Source organism: Homo sapiens, chromosome 3, assembly GCF_000001405.40.
Source record: "Homo sapiens chromosome 3, GRCh38.p14 Primary Assembly".
NCBI classification, from domain to species: domain Eukaryota; kingdom Metazoa; phylum Chordata; class Mammalia; order Primates; family Hominidae; genus Homo; species Homo sapiens.
In genome coordinates this window covers 164,352,431-164,372,748 of record NC_000003.12, presented here as the reverse complement: position 1 = coordinate 164,372,748, position 20,318 = coordinate 164,352,431, and the positions used below count along the sequence as shown (strand labels likewise).

Genomic DNA, 20,318 nt, shown 5'->3' with positions numbered 1-20,318 from the left:
AAAAATAAAATTTTACACAAAAGAATTTTAAAATCACAGAAATTTCTCTATTTTGAAAGGTCAATAGCTTACAATTCATTAAGGAAAATTCTCAGTAGAAATATGTAATATTTTTTCTTCACTGAATCTTATATTCTCTGAAACCTTCCCTCACAGCCTAGGTAAAGATTTAGCATCCAGAGAGAATTAAATGTGAAAACGAAATTACGGTTTTGACTTTTGACTAAGAAAACTAAGTATGAAGTGATTCGTAGAATTCTATGTTCCATGAAAAATTAAATCATCTTAGGATGCAGGGATAATTTTTCATGAGTAGTTGAAAAACTGCTCCATTTTTATATTGATGGGTAAAAGTTAATGATCACATTCAATTTAAGGAGTCGCAGAAGCATAACTGCCACCATTATTGTTATACAGTTATATATTGAATGCTTATACTGTGCTACCTACCCTCAAATTTATATCTATGTACCTATAACTCTATTCCAGTCTTTACTTTTCAGTTTATCCCTATGAGGAATATGTCATAGATTAGGAAACTGATGTTTAGAAAGCTGAGACCTTTTTCCAAGGTCACACAGCATATAGGAGACAGAAGTATACTTTGAATCTTTTATCTATTTGCTTTGGAAAGCCTTCATTTATTCTACACATATTTATTGTTTGCCCTTTGTGTTCCAGATGCTTTTTGTTCTAGAGGCAAACTAGAGAAGAAGATGAGAAATCTATTCTGCCCAGCCTTCCCTTCATGCTAGTTGTTTTCCTGGTATTCTCAAGATTTTTGTTAAAATGTGCAGTCAAATCTACTTCCCCATTTGTTGCAGTAAGGGCAATACCAACTGTTGTGATAAGCACAGCCTGCCAGGGCAGCTCATGGCTGAGGTCCATCCTTCCTGACTTCCAATTTAGAAGTCTTTTTATCACACAACAAAATAGCAAAGCAGAATTTAACATAGTTTTAACATACCGTTAATTCACAGAGTATATAATTTAGGCTTCCAAAGTGCTGCATTTACTTTCGAGCCTCTAGGACACTACTGTCCTGCCTCTGTAATATGGGGAGAAATAAAGTTTATTTTTATGTATTTATTTTATTTTATTTTATTTTGAGATGGGGTACCGCTCTGTCATCTAGGTTGGTGTGCAGTGGAGTGGCATACTGTTAATTCACAGAGTATATAATTTAGGTTTCCAAAGAGGTACATTTACTTTTGAGCTTCTAGGACACTCCTGTCCTGCCTCTGTAATATGGGGAGAAATAAAGTTTATTTGTTTTATTTTATTTTATTTTATTTTTATTTTGAGACAGGTTACCGCTCTGTCATCCAGGTTGGTGTGCAGTGGAGTGAACATGATTCACTGCAGCCTCAACCTCCTTGGATCAAGTGATCCTCCCACCTTAGCCTTCTGAGTAGCTGGTACCACAGGTGCATGCTCGGCTAATTTATTTTTATTTTTTTGAAGAGACAGGATTGCCCTGTGTTGCCCAGGTCGGTCTCGGACTCCTGGGCTCAAGAGATCCTCCCACCTCAGCCTCTTGAAGTGCTGGGATTACAGGCGTGAGCCTCTGTGCCTGACCTAAAGTTGATTTTTTGGCGCAGCTGTCTTGACAGGGATACTGATGATTGCTGTCAACATGACCTTGTGGCTGCACTCATTGACTTTCAGGACAACCAGCATAAAGAAATCACCCATATGTGTTCAGTTAATTTTTTATGTATTGGCAAGGTGCTATATACAACCCTGTGATAAGTTCACAGCTGGTTTAATTAAAGCACAACACATGTAGGAACAGTTTCTACTTGATTTACAAATACACAAAAAGATATACAGCTAGTTTAAACACTGCAGTATTGCCTAAAATCTCAGTATTATCTCTTGCAAATAAGACACATTGAAGAAAAATAACAATCACAATATCTATATAGGATTTTCTGATATTAGAATAGCCAATAATAAGAAACATTTTACAGATATGCTTACTTGATCTCAACAATCTGAAATTCTTTGATGTAGTAAAAGAACATTTATTATTGGACTCTTTTAAGAAAAACAAAATGGAAAATACTCACATGAGAAATGATTCTACTTGTTTTTACTTCTATTTTGAACTCCCTCCTCTTATAACTTTGCAACTGTAAAGTTCACAAAGAACAAAATTAACTATGAAGTTAAAATGAGGTAGCACATATTAAAGACCCACGACAATGGCTTCCATGTAACAAGTGCAGAATACATGTGAGCATTTTAACATCTCTTTATCATTAAATGTTGTTGATTTTTCTACCCAACTCTTAAGAACAAATTTGATTCATCATTCTATAAAATTTCAAAGTAAAGGAAGCACAGCCATTTGAGGGAAGAGAAAATACTGATTTTCACTGTTTAAGTCAAATTCTAAACCTAAAGCAAAGCCTGTTTATATAGGTAGTACTGTGTGCAGAAAACATGACTAATCTCAATTCAAAAAAAAATCAAGGAGAAAAGTACAGCAATTTGTACCTTTTGCTAGCAATTCTTTAAAATAGAAAAAAAATGTGATTGTTTTGATTTCGATACATCAAAACTCAAAAAATAAAAATAAAATGCATATATTAGACAATAAAAATGTACTAATCTTCTATACAGAGTATTTGAATTTTATAACAACCAGTTTATTTTCATTAAACAGAGGTAAAGAATAGAAGAACCTTTTAAAAAGATGGCAATAGCAAGACTGGATACATTTGCTGCTCATAATAAATCCTGAGTTGTCAGTGGGTAGAAATACTGTATTTATTTTAGTGTGAATATATTACAATAATGTTTGCACCTGGTTTTTCTTTTTTGGCATGAGATACACATTTACTTTAATTGACATCTTTTATAAAGCTGATTGATATTTTATATTTAATATCTTAACACTTTGTGGTTTTTCATAGGTGTAGTAGTTTACTGTGGCTGCCATAATAAAATACCACAGACTGGATGACTTAAACAATGGAAATTTATTTTCTGTCACATCTCCAGGCTGAAAGTCCAAGATTAAGGTGCCAGCAGAGTTGGTTTCTCCGGAGGTCCTTCTCCTTGCTTCACAGATGGCCACCTTGTCACTGTGCGCTCACATGGTCTCTTCTCCGAGTGAGTGTATCCTTGGTGACTCTTCCTCTTCTTCTAAGCATATCAGTCCTACTGAACTGAAAACCCTGCCCTTATTATCTCAGTTAAAATTAATTACCTCTTTAATGGGCCTATGTCTAAATATAGTCACACTCTGGGTTAAGGCTTCAACATACTAATTTTTACTGTTATTTGGTTCATAAGCATGGAAAAGGTAGAAGAAATTATATTTTCAAATGCTAGTGGGTGGATATACAATAAAAGATTATCCTTGGCCAAAGAAAAGTGTGAACATTTTTTCCTCAAGGTCCTTGGTGATAACATCTGAGCCCATGAAATGTTCTGCCTCCTAATATTGTCTTCATATACTAGGGGGTACCTGAGTAGACATGCCAGATAGTCCCTGCTGACAGTGTGATTTATGGTGGGGGCTTTGAATTCAGGGTGTCAGCTTGACTTTTGGAGGGGCTAGAGAATAACGTTACAAAGGAGTTTAGTCAAAATGAAGGGCACAATCCCCCAGACTGCTAAGTCTGCCCAAGACTTCTGACACAAACTGCAAGTTCAGGGATTTTCCCAAACTACCTAAGGTTCAACAATTTGCTGGGCTTAACATGATTCCCTTAAAACTATTGTACTTGTGGTCACATTTACTACAGGAAAAGGATACAAACTGGAAACAACCAAAGAAAGAGACACATGGGGCAAAGTCTGGGAGAATTCCAAATGCAAAGTTTCCATTGTCCTCAGGGATGCATTATTTTTCTGGCATCAATGCGTGGCAATATACATGGAGTATTGCCAACTCAGGAAGCTCATGAGAGCTTCGGTATCCTGAAATTGTGTTGATACTTTATTATCTATATATGATTGATGCATTGTTCAAGGGATTGAACTCAATTTAACTGGCCTCTCTCACCAACCCTTAAAATCAGCCTGATATCATGTGACCCAAACCCCCAAACCTCTAACTGTACTGTTGGTCTTTCTGGCATGGCCAGCCCCAACTCCGACTCATCTTGTTAGCATAAACTATGAGATGTGGGTGAAAAATCCCACCATAAATAGCAAAGGCACTCCTATCACGCAATTACAAGTGTTTATCTAAATAACAATACCTCCTATAAGGTTAAATTCCTTCCTTCACATAACGTCAGACATATGGATAGTCAACCATGTCTCAGTGACCAACTCCCAATGAGGAGCCTGGATTCCAAGGCCCAGATGATCTTCCCTGATTGGTAATGCTCAGTGGTTTTTTGCCAAACATGGCTGCTGAGAAAAGTAGGCACTCTACATACTCCACAGGAAGAGAACAACATAAAATTCCATGCCTGGTCTTTCCTGAACCCTGCTTTATGTGTCTTTTTCCTTTGATGATTTTAATCTATATTATTTCACTTTTATAAAATGCAATTTTGAGTTTAATGGTTTTTTGAGTTTTTGGAGTTCTTTTAATGAATCATTAAACCTGAGGCTGATTTTGGGGACTTCCGGAACACATGACACTATTTTGAGGAGGTGGACAATATTGAAAACCATCACTATACATTTTTTTGTTTGCATCAATGTGTGGCCTGCCCTTATTATAATAGCCTTATAATATTATATTTATAATGTCCTTATTATAAGTTTGTTCAGGTCACAAAAACCATAATTCTACTACTTATTTTATTGCATCATGATAACACAGAAGATAATACAAAAGATCCTGAATCACAATGCTGACTCTCATATTTCCACTTTTGAAAGGCTATATGAGAAGCAAATCAATATGATAAATCATCAAAGGTAAGATATTTAGTCTGAGCAAACCACAGATGCTACTTGATTTGATTACTGGCCAGTGCAATTTAATGACCACACACATTTTCTACTATTCCACATTGCCAACAAGAATACCCAAGTCAGAGAAATTGGGATTTTTTTTCTCATAGACATACCAAAGAATATTTCCTAAATCATGACATTAAGGAGAAGGCAAACTTAAGACTAACTTTAAAATTATGGGGGGAATGAAGTAACAGAAGATGTTAATTAAAGTTCAACATACTCTAAACTCATTCTTATCTATAAATGTACATACAGGTGAGCATACAAAAGCTTTTAAAGCACTTTACATATATTAGCTCATTTATTCTTCACAATAATTATATGACTTCAGTGCTATTATTATATTTGTTTTATAGATAAGAAAACTTAAGCAGAGAGGTTAGGTAGTTTGGCTCATTACAGACAGTTTATAAGTGGTAACGTGATTCAATTTCAAACCTTGTCAGTTTAGCCCCAGAGTGTGGAATCACTATGCTATAATGAAAAACACACACACACACACACACACATATATGTTATAACAAAATTATATGTGAGTGTGTGTGTGTGTATATATATATGTTCAACTTTTTTTTGCTCAATGATTAAGAGCAGTAGCATGAGAATTAAAACCTTCGCTTCCACATTTTGTTTCTGTGGCTTTTGGGCATGGTGATGATATTATTGTGTCTCAATTTCCTCATTAATAAATTGGAGTAATCATGGTACTCACCTCAAGGCATAATATATTAATTAAATAAGGAAATGCATATCAAGTACTCACAAATTTTCCCAGTGCATAATAAATACTAAAGGGACACAATATTTACAATTTTATAGCTCAAATTCACAGAATTTCAGATTATTACTAAGCAAGAATTATGAATTTCCTCATATACATTTATTCAAGTTTTATACAATAGGAAGAATTCCACAAGTGTTTTCAAGGGCCCCTGTGATGACATTTGATTCAACTTGATTTTGAAACCTAGGTGTACATGTTAGAAAGGTACCCAAAACGTGCATTATTTCCATATCATACAGATTACAAATTCTGATAAAATTTCATAATCCAATTACCAATAAATGGTTCCAACTACATATAAACATTTCTCTAAATTTACATATAATTAGCTATTGATTCAGGTTTTTACAATAAATACTGCAAACTCTATATACAATTTGACATATTCAGTTTTCTATTGGACTGAATAGCCAACTTGACTAAGCAATTGGGGAATCTGTATGGCACTGATTTGTCTACTGGTATGGGGAATCTTTTCTGAAGATAAAAATAAGCCGAAAGTTTAGACCTTGGCCCAATGACAAAGATTTAATTGTCTAGTGAAAGAATTTCTAAATTTATTGTTTATATAACACCTATTTATTTAAAAAATCTAAGAAAGTGACTTGAAAGTAGAATGTGAGACATTTGTAGACTTATTAAAGTGTGCTTGGGATAAATTGTTCTTGAAATAAAATGTATTTGGAATAAAATAATAAACTGAGATAAATTAGAACCTGACAGGTTATGACTGTAATGAGGAAGGGGACATTTTGAGGTTAAGTTTATTCTAAAAGATGTTCTAGTGGACAAGGATATTAGGAATTTTATCAAGTTGGAAGAGCACACTTGGGAGGAAAACAGTTGGATGACACAGAAACTCAAGGCAGTGACAATAGTCAGGCATCAGCATTTACTAGGCAATAAAGGATTAAAAAAAAACCATAGAAACACAAATGATAAAGTATTTGTAAAACATAAACTTTGAAGATCTGAGTGATAAGAGCAGATTCTGTCTATTTGAAATTTAAAGACCAATTCAAGGATAACAGCATTCCAAAGCAAGTCAGCATATGGCTCTAGAAATATATGGGGGAAAAAATGGATAGGACGAAAACCTTTCCTGTGATCACCCATGATTGAGAGTTTCAAAAATTGTGTCTAGGTGATATATTTGAAGTTAGAATTAGGTCTATAAAAATATTAATTTTAGTTAATTTTGTATTATTTTGTCATAGGATATATAATTCTCTATTTTAATGATGTGATTTTACTGTCTACAATCACTTTGAAGTGGTAAGACATGTCAATGTGACTAAAAATATCAATAATTTGAACTCTTCTACTTTTTATAATACTTTTTTTCTAAATTAATAGTTATAATCAAGGAATATCTTTTATATTTCACAGAGAAACTGATGACACTTTTGCTTAAAAATGATCCTACTGATACTATATTTCCAGACTTCAAGGATTCTCTCTACTGCTACTGTTTCCTAATGTGAAACAGCTTTGCTCCATTGCTCCTATTTGTCCTTCACCATGTCCTAGCACTTTTTACTCTGTCTTCTCTGCTTCTGCACACCCAACAATAGATTGCCTAAGAACACTGCTGTCACTTGTCATTGAAGTGAATTTAATCCAAAGCAGACATTGCTATAAGTGCAACTCCAATACCAAGAACTGGCTGTATTCTCAGAGTTGGCATAATGTAGTAGAAGTAGCACAGGACTTGAAGCAGAATCTATTCCTTTTCTAAGGGTAAGACTCAACTGAGCAAGTTAACTTCGTGGTTTTAATTTTGTGAGTCATCTTGCAATTTTAGAAGCACCAATTTCAAAAGTGCTTTAATAGATGATATGTGGAATTTTCAGTAAAGACAAGTTTTCTAACTTTGTCAATAAAGGATTCTCTGAAGAAGGGAACATATATTATTATATTTCTGTTATTTCTGTTTTACTCAAAACAGCTTCATTTTGATGCTGAAGTTGATCTATAAGGCGTGTTTATTACATCAAAATTCACTGACTGATAACCTTCCATAAAGGCATATACCAAGTAATTGCTATATGTTAATAGTGACGGTGTAATAATTCTGTCAGGTATGGGCATAAGTGATGAACTACAATTGACTTTAATGATGTGGCTGGCAGAAACTGTTAACATTTTATTCAGATCTATGAGCGAGTATTGTGGGCATATCTAATTGTTAACCATTTATGAGGTGATGAAGCTTCTCCAGGCTGCATTAAATCAAAGTTTATACCATAAGTAACTGTAATGTATTAAATGAAACAGCATGTGTGAGCTCCAAAATTCTCTGATTTTCATTGCCAGGTTTATCATGCTGATGAGTTTTGCAGCTATACAAAGAACTAACGTCACAGTATTCACAAGGAAGTTTTCCTTCTCTGTTTAGACAGTGCAAGAAACTCTAGTGGGTATTTTAATGATATTTTCACAGGTCAGAGGGTGAATTGTAAAATTATACCAAATGAGAAATACACAGAGAAGCAATATTTTCTTTTGTAATTTCTAGTTCGCGATTGAGAAAACAATTTTTTCCCCAGTTTAAGAAGGTCTTTGTCTTAGTCCATCCCTGCTTTTACAAGAAAACACCATAAACTGGGAGGCTTATAAACAACAGCAATTTATTTTTCACGGTTCTGGAGACTGGGTAGTCTAAGATCAAGGTGTTGGCAGATTCAGTATCTGTTGGGGGCCTGCTTCCGCATTGACAAGCTGTCTTCTCACTGTCATCTCACATGCACGAAGGGGTAAACAGGCTGCCTGGGATCTCGTTTATAAGAACACTAATCCTTTTCATGAGGACTCTGCCCTCATGGCCTAATCATCTCCCAAAAGTCCAAATTCATACTATTATTACTTTGGGGGTTAGGATTTCAACATACGAATTTTAGAAGTATACAAATATTAAGACCCTAGCAGCCACAATCAGTTCACAGTCATTTTTTCATTTCCATGAGATCCACTTATATGGGGTTTTCCCCTCTTTGGTGACTTTTTGAAATAATGGTGCATTAATAAAATATTCTGAATTACTATTTTCTATCGCATATTATTGTACTTATTTTGGTGGCAGGCATAGGGATACTGAATCCTCATATCAAGAGACATTTAACCTTCAATTCTGATTCCATAAATATGTCAGTGGAGATAATATGATAGCCTAGGGATTGAGTTTATTTTATTTCTAAAGATACATACTTTTCAATTTTGCTTTATGAAAACCATACATAGGAGCTGAAAGAGCTCTGAAATAATCATAGTGTAAAACATTAAGAAATAATTCTATGCCCAAACTAAAAATGTTACTGAGACAAAAAGCAAATCAGTCTAGGTAAGTACTTTTTCCAGCTACAGAGAAAGGGTACATGAAATTCTTCTATTAATTTCAGTAAAAATAATGCCCAATTTACCTCTTCTTAGAAATAAAGAACAGTCTCTGCATAACAGCATTCATGAGGAAATTGTTTGGGAAATTTGAAAGGAAAGGGGGTGTGTGTGTGTGTGTGTGTGTGTGTGTGTGTGTTGCTACTTTTGCATTGATTTCACTGGATACATTTTACATTAAGCATTTTAACATTTTCCTTTTTAATGTTTCTTCTTAGACTACTTTTTCCATAAATAGAAGTGGCACCAGAATTAACACTTGTTAAGTATTTCTGGAGGTGCAGAAAATAGGATTTCCAATACATGGAAATTAGAATGCATACATGAAAAAATGAGAAAATTTGTAACTTAAGTGAACTGAAGTTTAATCATCTTTCTAATCTAATATTTTCTTTTCTTAGTTTTATTTATTATTTTTTTTTAATTTTTAGGTTTGGGGGTACCTGTGAAGGTTTGTTACATAGGTGAACTCGTGTCACCAGCATTTGTTATACAGGTTATTTCATAACCCAAGTATTAAGCCTAGCACCCAGTAGATACCTTTTCTGCTCCTCTCCCACCGTCTGCCCTCCACTCCACTCGGCACTACTCCATCCCCAACAGACCCCAAAGTCTATTGTTCTCTTCTTCATGTTCATGAGTTTTTATCATTTAGCTCACACTTATGAGTGAAAACATGCAATATTTGGTTTCTGCCTAATATTTTCTTTGCTAGATGAGGCATTTGAGCAGTAGTGAAACTCATTTTTGAAAGTGAACTTATATTAAGGGCCAACATGTGACACTAGTACTTGATAGTAGAATTTCACTTCTAGTGTGAATCAAAATTCCAGAAGAAAGTAAATTATAGCCTCCTGTGAAACAGCACAGACTTTCATGTTTACTACCTGATGTTGTGTGCATGAGAGTGTATATAATGTTCTCAATGGATAAAGAGGGGAAATAATTAGTATTTCTGTTTTTTCACAAAAAGCTAAATAGAAATTTAATAAGACCAATACATGTGATCTGTTATTAATATGATATACTGACATGACATTATTTTCAGTAATTGATGAATTTTCTATACACATTTAATATTTTACAAAATCCACTAAATGGTTCTGCCTATCCAGAGGGAAAATAAAACCTCCAATATTTTTGCCACAGCACCATTAAACTTCCCTTATTTTTAACTATCTTGGATAGAGTCCATGTCGGCTTGATGCAATTAATGTCCTAATCAAAAAGTAACAGAACTCAAGAGCCCATTTAATCAGTGACAAATATAAATTGACTCATGAGTTTATAATTTATAAATAAAATGGTTTGTCAAGTCATACATGCAACATTAGAGCAATGCAATACTATTAGCATATTACATCTTCAATTTTTTGATATAAGAACAAACACAACTACAAGAAATCTAGCAGAAATCATTAAAATTGAACATATAAAAGTTTTCTTCAAAGAAAAGATTTACATAATACAAATAGAAAGTTAAAACGTGGTTTTCACAAATGGCATTGGTCAATATAACATGTTTCATTAATTTCTTTTTTCAAATTAATATTAGAAATGAATCAATTCCTGTGTAATTACTTTGTCATTCCTACTCTGTCTACACACAGATATCAATTTTACATGTATTGTAAATAGAGGGGTATCTATTGAATCATATTTAAAGGCATTGCCCTGATATACTAAACGATTTTAATCAGTATGGATTATTTAAAGAGAGAAAGAGAAGGAAAGAAAGAGAAAGAGAGAGTGAGAAAAAGAGGGTAAAGAGAGAAACTGATTGTGTTCCTAAAGTTATACAAAATAACAATTCTATAATGTCTCATTGGCAATATTAAATTCCTATTAGGCAAATGTTCCAGACTTTATGTAAAAAATATGTTTAACTTTCTGCTCATCAACTGATCAGCTGTCTTATTCATTTTGTTAGATATCTTTTTTTTTTCGCACCCCCCACCACCTCTCGCACCCCCAGTGGAGTCTCGCTCCCTCTTTCTCGCCTAGGCTGGAGTGCAGTGGCACGATCTCGGTTCACTGCAGCCTCTGCCTCCTGGATTTCAAGAGATTCTCCTGCCTCAGCCTCCTGAGTAGCTGGTATTACAGGCGTGTGCCACTACACCCGGCTAATTTTTTTTTTGTATTGTTAGTAGAGACGGGTTTTCACCGTGTTGACCAGGCTGGTCTTGAACTCCTGACCTCAAGTGATCCTCCTGCCTCGGTCTCCCAAAGTGCTGGGATTACAGGCCTGAGACACTGCGTCCAGCCTGTTGGATATCTTAGGGCAATAAATCAGCAATTCCTAACATTTTTGGCACCAGGAACCAGTTTTGTGGAGGAAAATTTTCCATAAATGAGGTGTGGGGCATTATATTTCCTTAAAGAGCACACAACCTAGATGCCTGACATGTGCAGTTCACAATAGGTTTCACGTTTCTATGAGAGTCTAATGCGCCTGCTGATCTGACAGGAGTCGGAGCTCAGGCAGTAATGCTCACTAGCCCACTGCTCACCTCTGCTGTGCCGCTTGGCTCCTAACAGTCCACGGACAGGTCTGGTGGTAGGGGTCCCCTGCAATAAATTATTTCCAGACATTTCAGTCGATTATGTCTTTATGTATTTTTACTAACATAAACATTTAGTAATTAACCATAAGGGATTTTTTTCCATCACTTTCTTAAACAGGCTGAAAAGACTGACTAGGCCAGAAACAGAAAGTGAAACCCATTAATCAGTATTTACCAATATAAATTTGTCGCTAAAAGTTTAAGTTACCAAATAATATAAACAGTGGCTAAATTTATCTGTGCATCTGTTCATTTTATACATACACACACACATACACACACGCACACAGTGTACCTAAGTATGTGCTTATTTCAGTGTCATGACAGAATTATAAAATACAGTAATTACTCTTGAAAAGTCATTTAGAATGAAATCAACACTAAAGGAACATATAATTTAGTTAGCAAAATATAGATACACATTCACTGTGTACTGTATTGTGTCTGTTTGGAAAAGACATTAAAAAGGTAAGTTAGATACTCGAATACATTGATTCCATCCTGAGAAGTTGAAACTTTAAAAAAATTTGAAACCATCAAAGCTTTTTCAGCAGTGAATCCAATATATGTATGATCTTATTATGCAGTAGTTTAGTGACATATGTGCCTATTACTCCACTCAGAGGTTGCATTCTGTGAAATCCAGAAGTGGGGTTTGTTGGTTTGTTTGCTTGTTTGTTTTGAGACGGAGTTTCGCTCTTTTCCCAGGATGGAGTGCAGTTGCACAATCTCGGCTCACTGCAATCTCTGCCTCCCAGGTTCAGGCGATTCTCCTGTCTCAGCCTCCCGAGTAGCTGGGATTACAGGCGCATGCCACCACACCTGGCTAAGTTTTGTATTATTAGTAGAGACAGGGTTTCATCATATTCGTCAGGTTGATCTCGAACTTCTGACCTCAGGTGATCCACCTACCTCAACCTCTCAAAGTGCTGGGATTACAGGCTTTAGCCACTGCGCCCAACCCAGACGGGGGTTTAATGTATCATTATATATTTGTTACCTAGTAAAATAACCAATATATAGCAGACATTAATCCAGATCAATATTAATAAGAAAACTGTCCCCTTAGTTACCAGGGTGACTCCCCATAAGCCATATTAATATTTTATAACCCTCTCATCACTCCCAAACTTGCTTATGGTTCAGAGATTTAGGGTTAGATTCCTTCCTAAAGCTAGACCTGTCCAAATTATTCTTTCAGACAAATTTTAATTAGAATTTCTGATTGAGTTTGTGTTTTACGTGGGAACTAGGGATGTTTTAAAGAAGAAAAACCTGATGTGTCATGAGACAGTCATATTCCTCTATGAATTTAGGAAGGCAGAAAAAGCAAGTCTGTAGAGACAGAAGCAGAAAGTAGATGACGAGAAAGAAATTTCTAGTTCCTAATTCCAGTATCTTCCTGAGGTTTGGCTATACTGGAAACTGTGGAGTGTGAGAGGAACATAGGCATTTTTATATTCAGTTCTTCCTTTGGCACAACTGCTTAAGAAGGTTCACACTGCTTGCAAAAAAGAGATGAATTCTAACTAAGAAACTATTGTTCAACTGAAGAATGAAGATTGTGACTTAGGTACAAAAATCTAATGGTAAAATGTAGTCATAGGTTGGAGGGAAGAAAAACAGGACAAGTCTAATTAAAATCAGGTAGGAAACCAGTGAATTTCTATTATGAAATTATTGTATGTTCTTGTAGCTCCACCTTTCCATTGGAGTCTGTGATTGTACTTAATTTGAGTATGGCAAGTGCCAGTATTTCCTTAAACTACTTTTAATAGTAAATAATACAACATAATCTTATGTCAAACAAAACAACTAAGACTTGATTTGATTGCCTCTATTTCTTGTAAGCTATTCAACTTTGGGAAATCATTCAAGTAGTCTAGATTCTATGTTCCCAAAATCAAATATAGGGCATTTGCTTAAAATAATGTGAGTGGTTTAGAAGACACAGGGTTAATACTGATTAGATAGAATAAAGCCAAATCTAAGTACAGTTGACTCTTGAACAACACAGGCCTGAATTGTGCAGGTACGCTTTTAGTGGACTGTTTTCAAGCAAACATGCATGGAAAATATAGTATTTCCAGGATGCAAAACCCACAAATACAGAGGCCAACTTTTCCTATAACCAGTTCCACAAGGCCAACTGCCCTTGAGTATGTGTGGATTTTGTTACATGAGGATGTCCTGGAGCCAATCCTCATTGTATACCGAGGGATGACTGTAATAATGTGATCATTTTGGAAAATCACTTATCAAGTTTTTTTTATTACTTGCTTTTTTCAGGAAGTTTTTGGTTTACAGAAAAATTGAATAAAAAAGTGTCCATATTATCTTTCCTTCCTGCACGTTTCTCTGTAATTTATAGCTTGCTTTGTTACATTTGTTATAAGTTGAACATTTGTTATAAGATGAACAAATAGTGATACATTACTATTTAGTAAAATTCGAAGTTTACATTAGAGTTCACTCTTTTGGTTGTACAGTTCTGTACAACAGAACTGCAGGGGTGCAGCCTAGGATCTGTTGCTTACAGCACAAAAAGTCAATCACTGAGATAACAAGTATTACCAGGGAAGAAGGATTTATTCCTGTGCTATAGCTGAGGAGAACAAGGTATCAGTCTCAAATCTGTCTACCCAACAGATCAAAACTGTGGAGTGTATATAGTGAGGGAAATTGAGAAAAATTAGGGAGGGCTAAGGAGTAATTATCATAGATGAGAGGTCTGGCATCTCGTTGTCTGGATGTAGTGGTCTGAGTTTTAGTTCCTTGCCTGAGGGTTCCAGAGGAAGGGACTCAGATGAGACAAAGATAAATTTCAAATTTAAAGACAGAGGGTCAATTTTGATGTTTATTATAAAAACTTGTAAATATCAGCTCTATGAGAAAATTGGGCTGGTTTCAATTCTATCGTTTTTGAAACTTAAAATAGTAACTTCTGACTAAATATATTCTTAATACTTTAGTTTTAATATCCACTGAATATTTCAATTCCCTTTCTCTTCTAGTATAGGCTGAACTGTTCATATTTGAAAATGTTCGTTATGACTTTTAGAAATATCTTGAGATGTGTGCATGTCCATGTGTAATTATTTTGGCAAAGAAAATTTTCATATCTACATTTGCTTTATCTCACATAATTTCTACAAATATTATTTTTCTATGTTTATTTTTTAACCAATAGAGATATTTTGAAAGACAATATTTTAAAATTCCAATGAGTAAAAAAACTAACATCTTGAGCTCTTGAAAAGCAATGATGTTAGGTAGCAAATTCTCACTGGACTGTCCAATACCTTCTGTCTTTTCAGCCCAGATAAGATAACTATTCAGAACAAAAGCAAAATAGCAAGAAAATCTCAGGTATATTTGAATTCAGCTATTTTCTGTTATCCTGGATTTTCTAATGAACCCTGACATTACACTTTAAAATTCTAAGTATTGTTATTGAATCTTTTGTGAGCTATTTAATCTGTTTAAAAGCAGAGACAAATGAGGCCATCAATATTTAAATGATTTCTATTCCTCATGGTGATTTCAAAATGAATCTCAGCTTACATTTGAAGATCTGAAAAAAGAAACAGTTGCCATCACAGACTCAGTGTATCAACAGTGAAGAATACGTTTTTGCATTTGAGATTTATATGATTATTTGAGATGAAGAACTTACGGTAGTGACAAAGAAAGGGAAAAGCTCAGATTTTGAAGGGTGGTAATTGTTTTGGGTAATTTCAGTTAACCCAGGAGGAAAAAGTAACATGGAAATTAGTTTATGGTAATCAAGAAAAAGCAGTTTCAAGATATGCTTTAATTTTCAGTGCCAAGATGTATCTAAAAATTTTATGCTATGGAAGTTGGAACTATCCCTCCCCCTACACCTCCTAATATCTGACATTGGTATACTTTTTGTTTTTCAATTATAAATTATTAACAATACACTTTTATTTCAGTCTTTCAAGAAAACTTTATGTGAGATGATGCTATTAGATTCCACATACTTCCAACTTTTCTCCTAATACCTTCACTCAATATCTGTGGTCTGCCTTCTATCAATATCTACACTATTGCTTTTATTATTGCCAAGTCATTAATATTCATGCTCTCTCTGACTGCCAAGTCTTCTGCACTTTTTCCCTAGGTTGATCCTAGATGTTGAAAAAAAAATTAATGGCATTTATCTTGCTGTGATTATGCAATTATTTTCACTTCAAGTAGAGTTCTGGGATTTTATTTTTTTCTCTATAGGTAATGTGTCTGGATCTCTAGGGCACTTGAAGGAGATTTTTTGTTTATGTAGCATCAAGCCTAAACTGATTCTTTTTCTCTCACTTTTTTATATGTTCTTAGTTTCTTGTTTGTTTTTTATAATCAGGCCACATTTTAATTAGCTTTATATTTGAATTGTTAATTTTTTAAAAAAATATTTGTTCCTCTAAATTTTTCATTTTTTATTAAATATTAAGGTTTTATTATTCTTTCAAGTGTTTCATTTAAAAAATCAGTTGTCTCTCCTGATAACCCTATCTTCCCATCCCTGAAAACCTCATGTTCTCTGGTATAGCACTGCCATTTTCTAGATCTTATACACTTCTACTCTTTCATTTACTTCCCCATTTTGCTGAAGATAATCTCAACTAAATTTCTAAGTGAAGGGTACAAAAGAGAAAAATATTTTAAGGATGTTTATGTTTGATAATGATTTCATGTTATATTTTCTCGATACTTTACTGAGTATATCCTGCTCGGTTACAAACATTACCCCAAAACTTTAAGAAGACTTTGCCTCCTTGCCTGCTTTTTAATCTCCAAGAGCACTATACAGAGTTTTCTGCTCACTTCATGGCACAAAATTCTTACTTTAAGGGTGTCTTACTATTGTGAGTATATTTATTCAAGTTGTTTTTTAAAGTTCTCTTTTCTTTGCCAAATTATTATGTCTTTTTCGAATATTGCATTTTTTCTGATATTGTTATAAACTGGTATTTTTTTTTAACATATTACTGATCTGTTCATATGTTTTTGGTCATTGTCTTTTCATAGTACAGGCATAAGAACAAAAGAGCTGAGAGCTGTCCTGTGGTATATTGTAAGTAGGCCTTCTCTGCTAGGTATCTCAGTGTGACAACTGTTACTGTAAGAAGTTTGTATTTTTGTCAGGACAAATTTCACATTAGAAAGAGCTGTCAGACAACGGATTGTCAGGATGAGGTTTCTCCAAAACCTCAATGCAAAGTTTTTATTTGGTGGAACTAATGCGTACACTAAAAGAATTAACTTTCCCCAGAATAATTCTTTCCTGCCCCTAAAAATAATTCTTTCTTTAGCCAAAGGGATATCCTGTATTTTAATTAAGGATTATTAATAGGCTGCCTATATTTTCAGTTGAATCTCTCCATTTTCAATAAAGATTCCCTCAACCCACATTAAATTTTATATTTATGTAATATGTAATTATCAGTAAACAACCTTCATCCTCTTTGTTTTTGAAAAATTAACTGCGATTTTATCTGCTGGAAATGCTTTATTCTCTTGAATATCTTTGTGTTTTTGGGCTTTTCCTTTGGTTCTTTTAGTTTTATATTTTAGACAGGGTTTCAGTGAGATATGGAGTAGGTCTGGATATACACTAGCTTGAAATTATTGATTTCAAAATGGCACTATTTAAAAAAATACCTATTGTGAGATTGATATATTTTGGATTATTTAACATTCCACAAAAAGTTTATAGAAAATTCCGTTATTGATTATTTATTCTTGTTTTCTGTTTTTGTTATATTTAAGTACTCTTCCAGAAATCCATATTTTAATTTCTACATCTAAATTATTCTGTAGACTATGAGCTCTTTAAGAACAGAAATCTGGTATTACATTAGTTTTAATTCTTTTCTCAGCTATACACTATACTCAGGCGCTGCATTAAATGTTGATATAATTAATTAAATTCCAGTATTCAAAAGTTTATTGATAGTTTTATAACTGTTTTAGGTGGTTCAATAATAAATAGATTACATATTTTGCTCTAGGCATTTAAGTAAGTGGAATATAACCATGAACACGTATGTTTATAGATTATAGTTGCAAGTATTATATATGTAATATAAATTTTATAGTTTTAACTGTATCTACTCCAATTTGTACTTATTTTTTTCAGGTTCTAGTTCTATTTCCAATTTTGTTTTACTGTAATATGCAAGGGATAATGTGCAGTTTTTCTTGGTTTCATCTAGAAGTCAGGCGAATCATGCAATATTTTTATTTCAACAGCAATCCCATCTTATGACTTATAATCTTCCAATCCATTTATATCTATAACATACGAGAAAGGGACAAGATTTTATGTCAACATTTTACTCAGACTATAAGATATAGTTAACTAACCCTTTGTGGAAGTATGAGAAGGAAAATCACCTTAAATCTGACATAAATATTATTTGACCTCATGCTTGTTGAGTTCCAGAGACCCTAAACTATTGTAAATATTAGTTTCTTCTTTTAACTTCACTTTTAAAATAGGTGATATGTATTTTCATAATACAGTATCTTTTGTAGATTTTAATAACTGTATACTAACTTATCACAGCCATGGTATTTGAATATATATTTAGCTTGATAGTAAAATGTTAAACCTTTGTGAAATGTAATGTAATATACAAAGAGGTGTCTTCCTGGTTCACAGCTCTAAGATAGAGTTCAGAAGCCATTCTAAGAATGACTGTATTAACTTGTCTTAAATCTTTGAACAAGGCCAAAGTGCCATGATCGCGTCACCCTGGAAAACAGGTGAATTTCTTCAGTGCTGCAACTCTTATACAGTGACAACCAATGAACTATGAACATGTACTAAGCCTGTTGCCTACACCAAAGATATTTCCTTCAAAACAACTGGTATGATCACTCTGAGTCCTTTTAAAAATCTCTACTCTCATCCCTCTCTTCAGAACATAATTTGGTCTTTAGTGGAGTTTGTTTCCTGAAATGAAATTCATAAAACCCCAATAAACACCTTGTCTTATGGCTTTGCAGTTGATTGACTAATCAACTGACTAATTGACTGACTCCTTCAAATCAACTAGGTTTAATTTCCAATATACATATGATGAGGCTTTTATTTTCTTGTTTCAAAAATAAAAAATAATTTTGTTATTAGAACAGATGTTTGAAGCAATCCCACAGATGTCTGGATCTTCTAGGAGAGGTTTGTTAAAGGTCTCTAATTCAGATTGTGTGAGATACTGTGGGAATGGATTTTGTGTTTCACTTTAAACCTCCTGCAGCTCATCCTGCATGAAATGTAAAATCACATCTCAGAAAGCAGATTGAGTATTTATGGTAATTTTTCTCTATAAAATGAAAAGGTGACTGAAAATTAACTGAAGAGTAAATGTATAGAATGACACTTAAGCTTAAAAACAATATAATACTGCCAAATTACATTTATTTAATTATATCATTGAAATTAGGTATGAGTAAATAATTATATAAATTCTTTAAAAATAATTTAATGAGCATACTCTTTCTTTGAAAAAATAAGAAAAGTACTCTGTAGTATTTTTATTTTTGAGGTCTTCTTACAAGATTATGCATTTTGGTAAGTGCCCATTATCTATTATCAAGTCACCATTCAAACCTAAGATGACACATGCAGATAGATTTGGTTTTATTATTAAAAGAAAACATTTGTGGTAAGATGCTGAGGTTATATTTCTTAAATTCTTAATTGTGACATCATGTATTTATATGTTTTGAAAATGCTATCTGAAGGAGGACAAAACAATCATTTCTGAGGCTATTAAGGATGTGGATTCAAGGTCAGACAAAGCTTTCAATACTTAAGAATAAACCAAAGCTGGAGACTCAGGCTTTTAAGAGTCATTAAGTATTTAACAGTTATTAGCCAAAAGCCTCTGGCAATTTTGTTTGCTACAAAGAACTTTGCTTTAGTGGCTCCATACAAAAACAGCTTGGGAGTTTTGATTGATTTATTAGGGTGACTTTGGTTTATTTAGAGAACACAATGTCTGTATCTAGGTTATTGTTTGAGTTTATTTGATGATACTATTATAGCTTACCAGTGGAAAATAAACAAATAAATACAGTAAAAGGAAATGATATAGGCTAGAAACTGTATCATCATATTCTTTTTGTATGTGGCTCATTACTACACTATAAATTTGATGTTAAAGTAAATTAAAAGTATATTTTAAATCTGCCTCTGAAACAAAAGTTGGTCTGTGAGGTTAACACCAAATATGAGTGAGCATTGGAATAACCATACACCTTTTAGGAATCACAAAGTACACAACAGTATATGAAAGTATCTCCAGTAAAGTGAATGCTTGCTCAATTGAAGGGCTCCACTTACTTGGAAATCTTTATCACAACAGAAAATGTCCACAGAAATGAACAATTTACTCTTGTTCAAAATGTCACATTCAGGAAAAGGTTTACTAACCCTTGGGAGAACACTAAAGACTTTTGAGAATTTTTCATGTTAACCAGTCATCTTCTGGGAATTATGACCTAAATATTGATATGACTAAAACTCATGTGTCAATGCAAATCTAGTTGTATCTTGGATTACATACATATAACACTATGCTTAAATCATAGTCTAACAATTGACTTCAGATTAAAGTGTC

At 33.7% G+C, this 20,318-nt stretch overlaps 1 long non-coding RNA gene across 1 annotated transcript in view; it reads right to left on the bottom strand.

Moving 5' to 3' along the window:
• Positions 1–2,072: 2,072 nt before the first annotated feature.
• The window catches only part of LOC105374189 (uncharacterized), a 31,734-nt gene continuing 13,488 nt past the window's right edge, over positions 2,073–20,318 (bottom strand). Inside the window, exons 2-3 of the long non-coding RNA XR_924657.2 lie at positions 11,620–11,677; positions 2,073–2,135 (exon numbers count right to left, since the gene is read on the bottom strand). This is a non-coding gene — a long non-coding RNA (uncharacterized LOC105374189). The remainder of the gene's footprint in view (positions 2,136–11,619; positions 11,678–20,318) is intronic.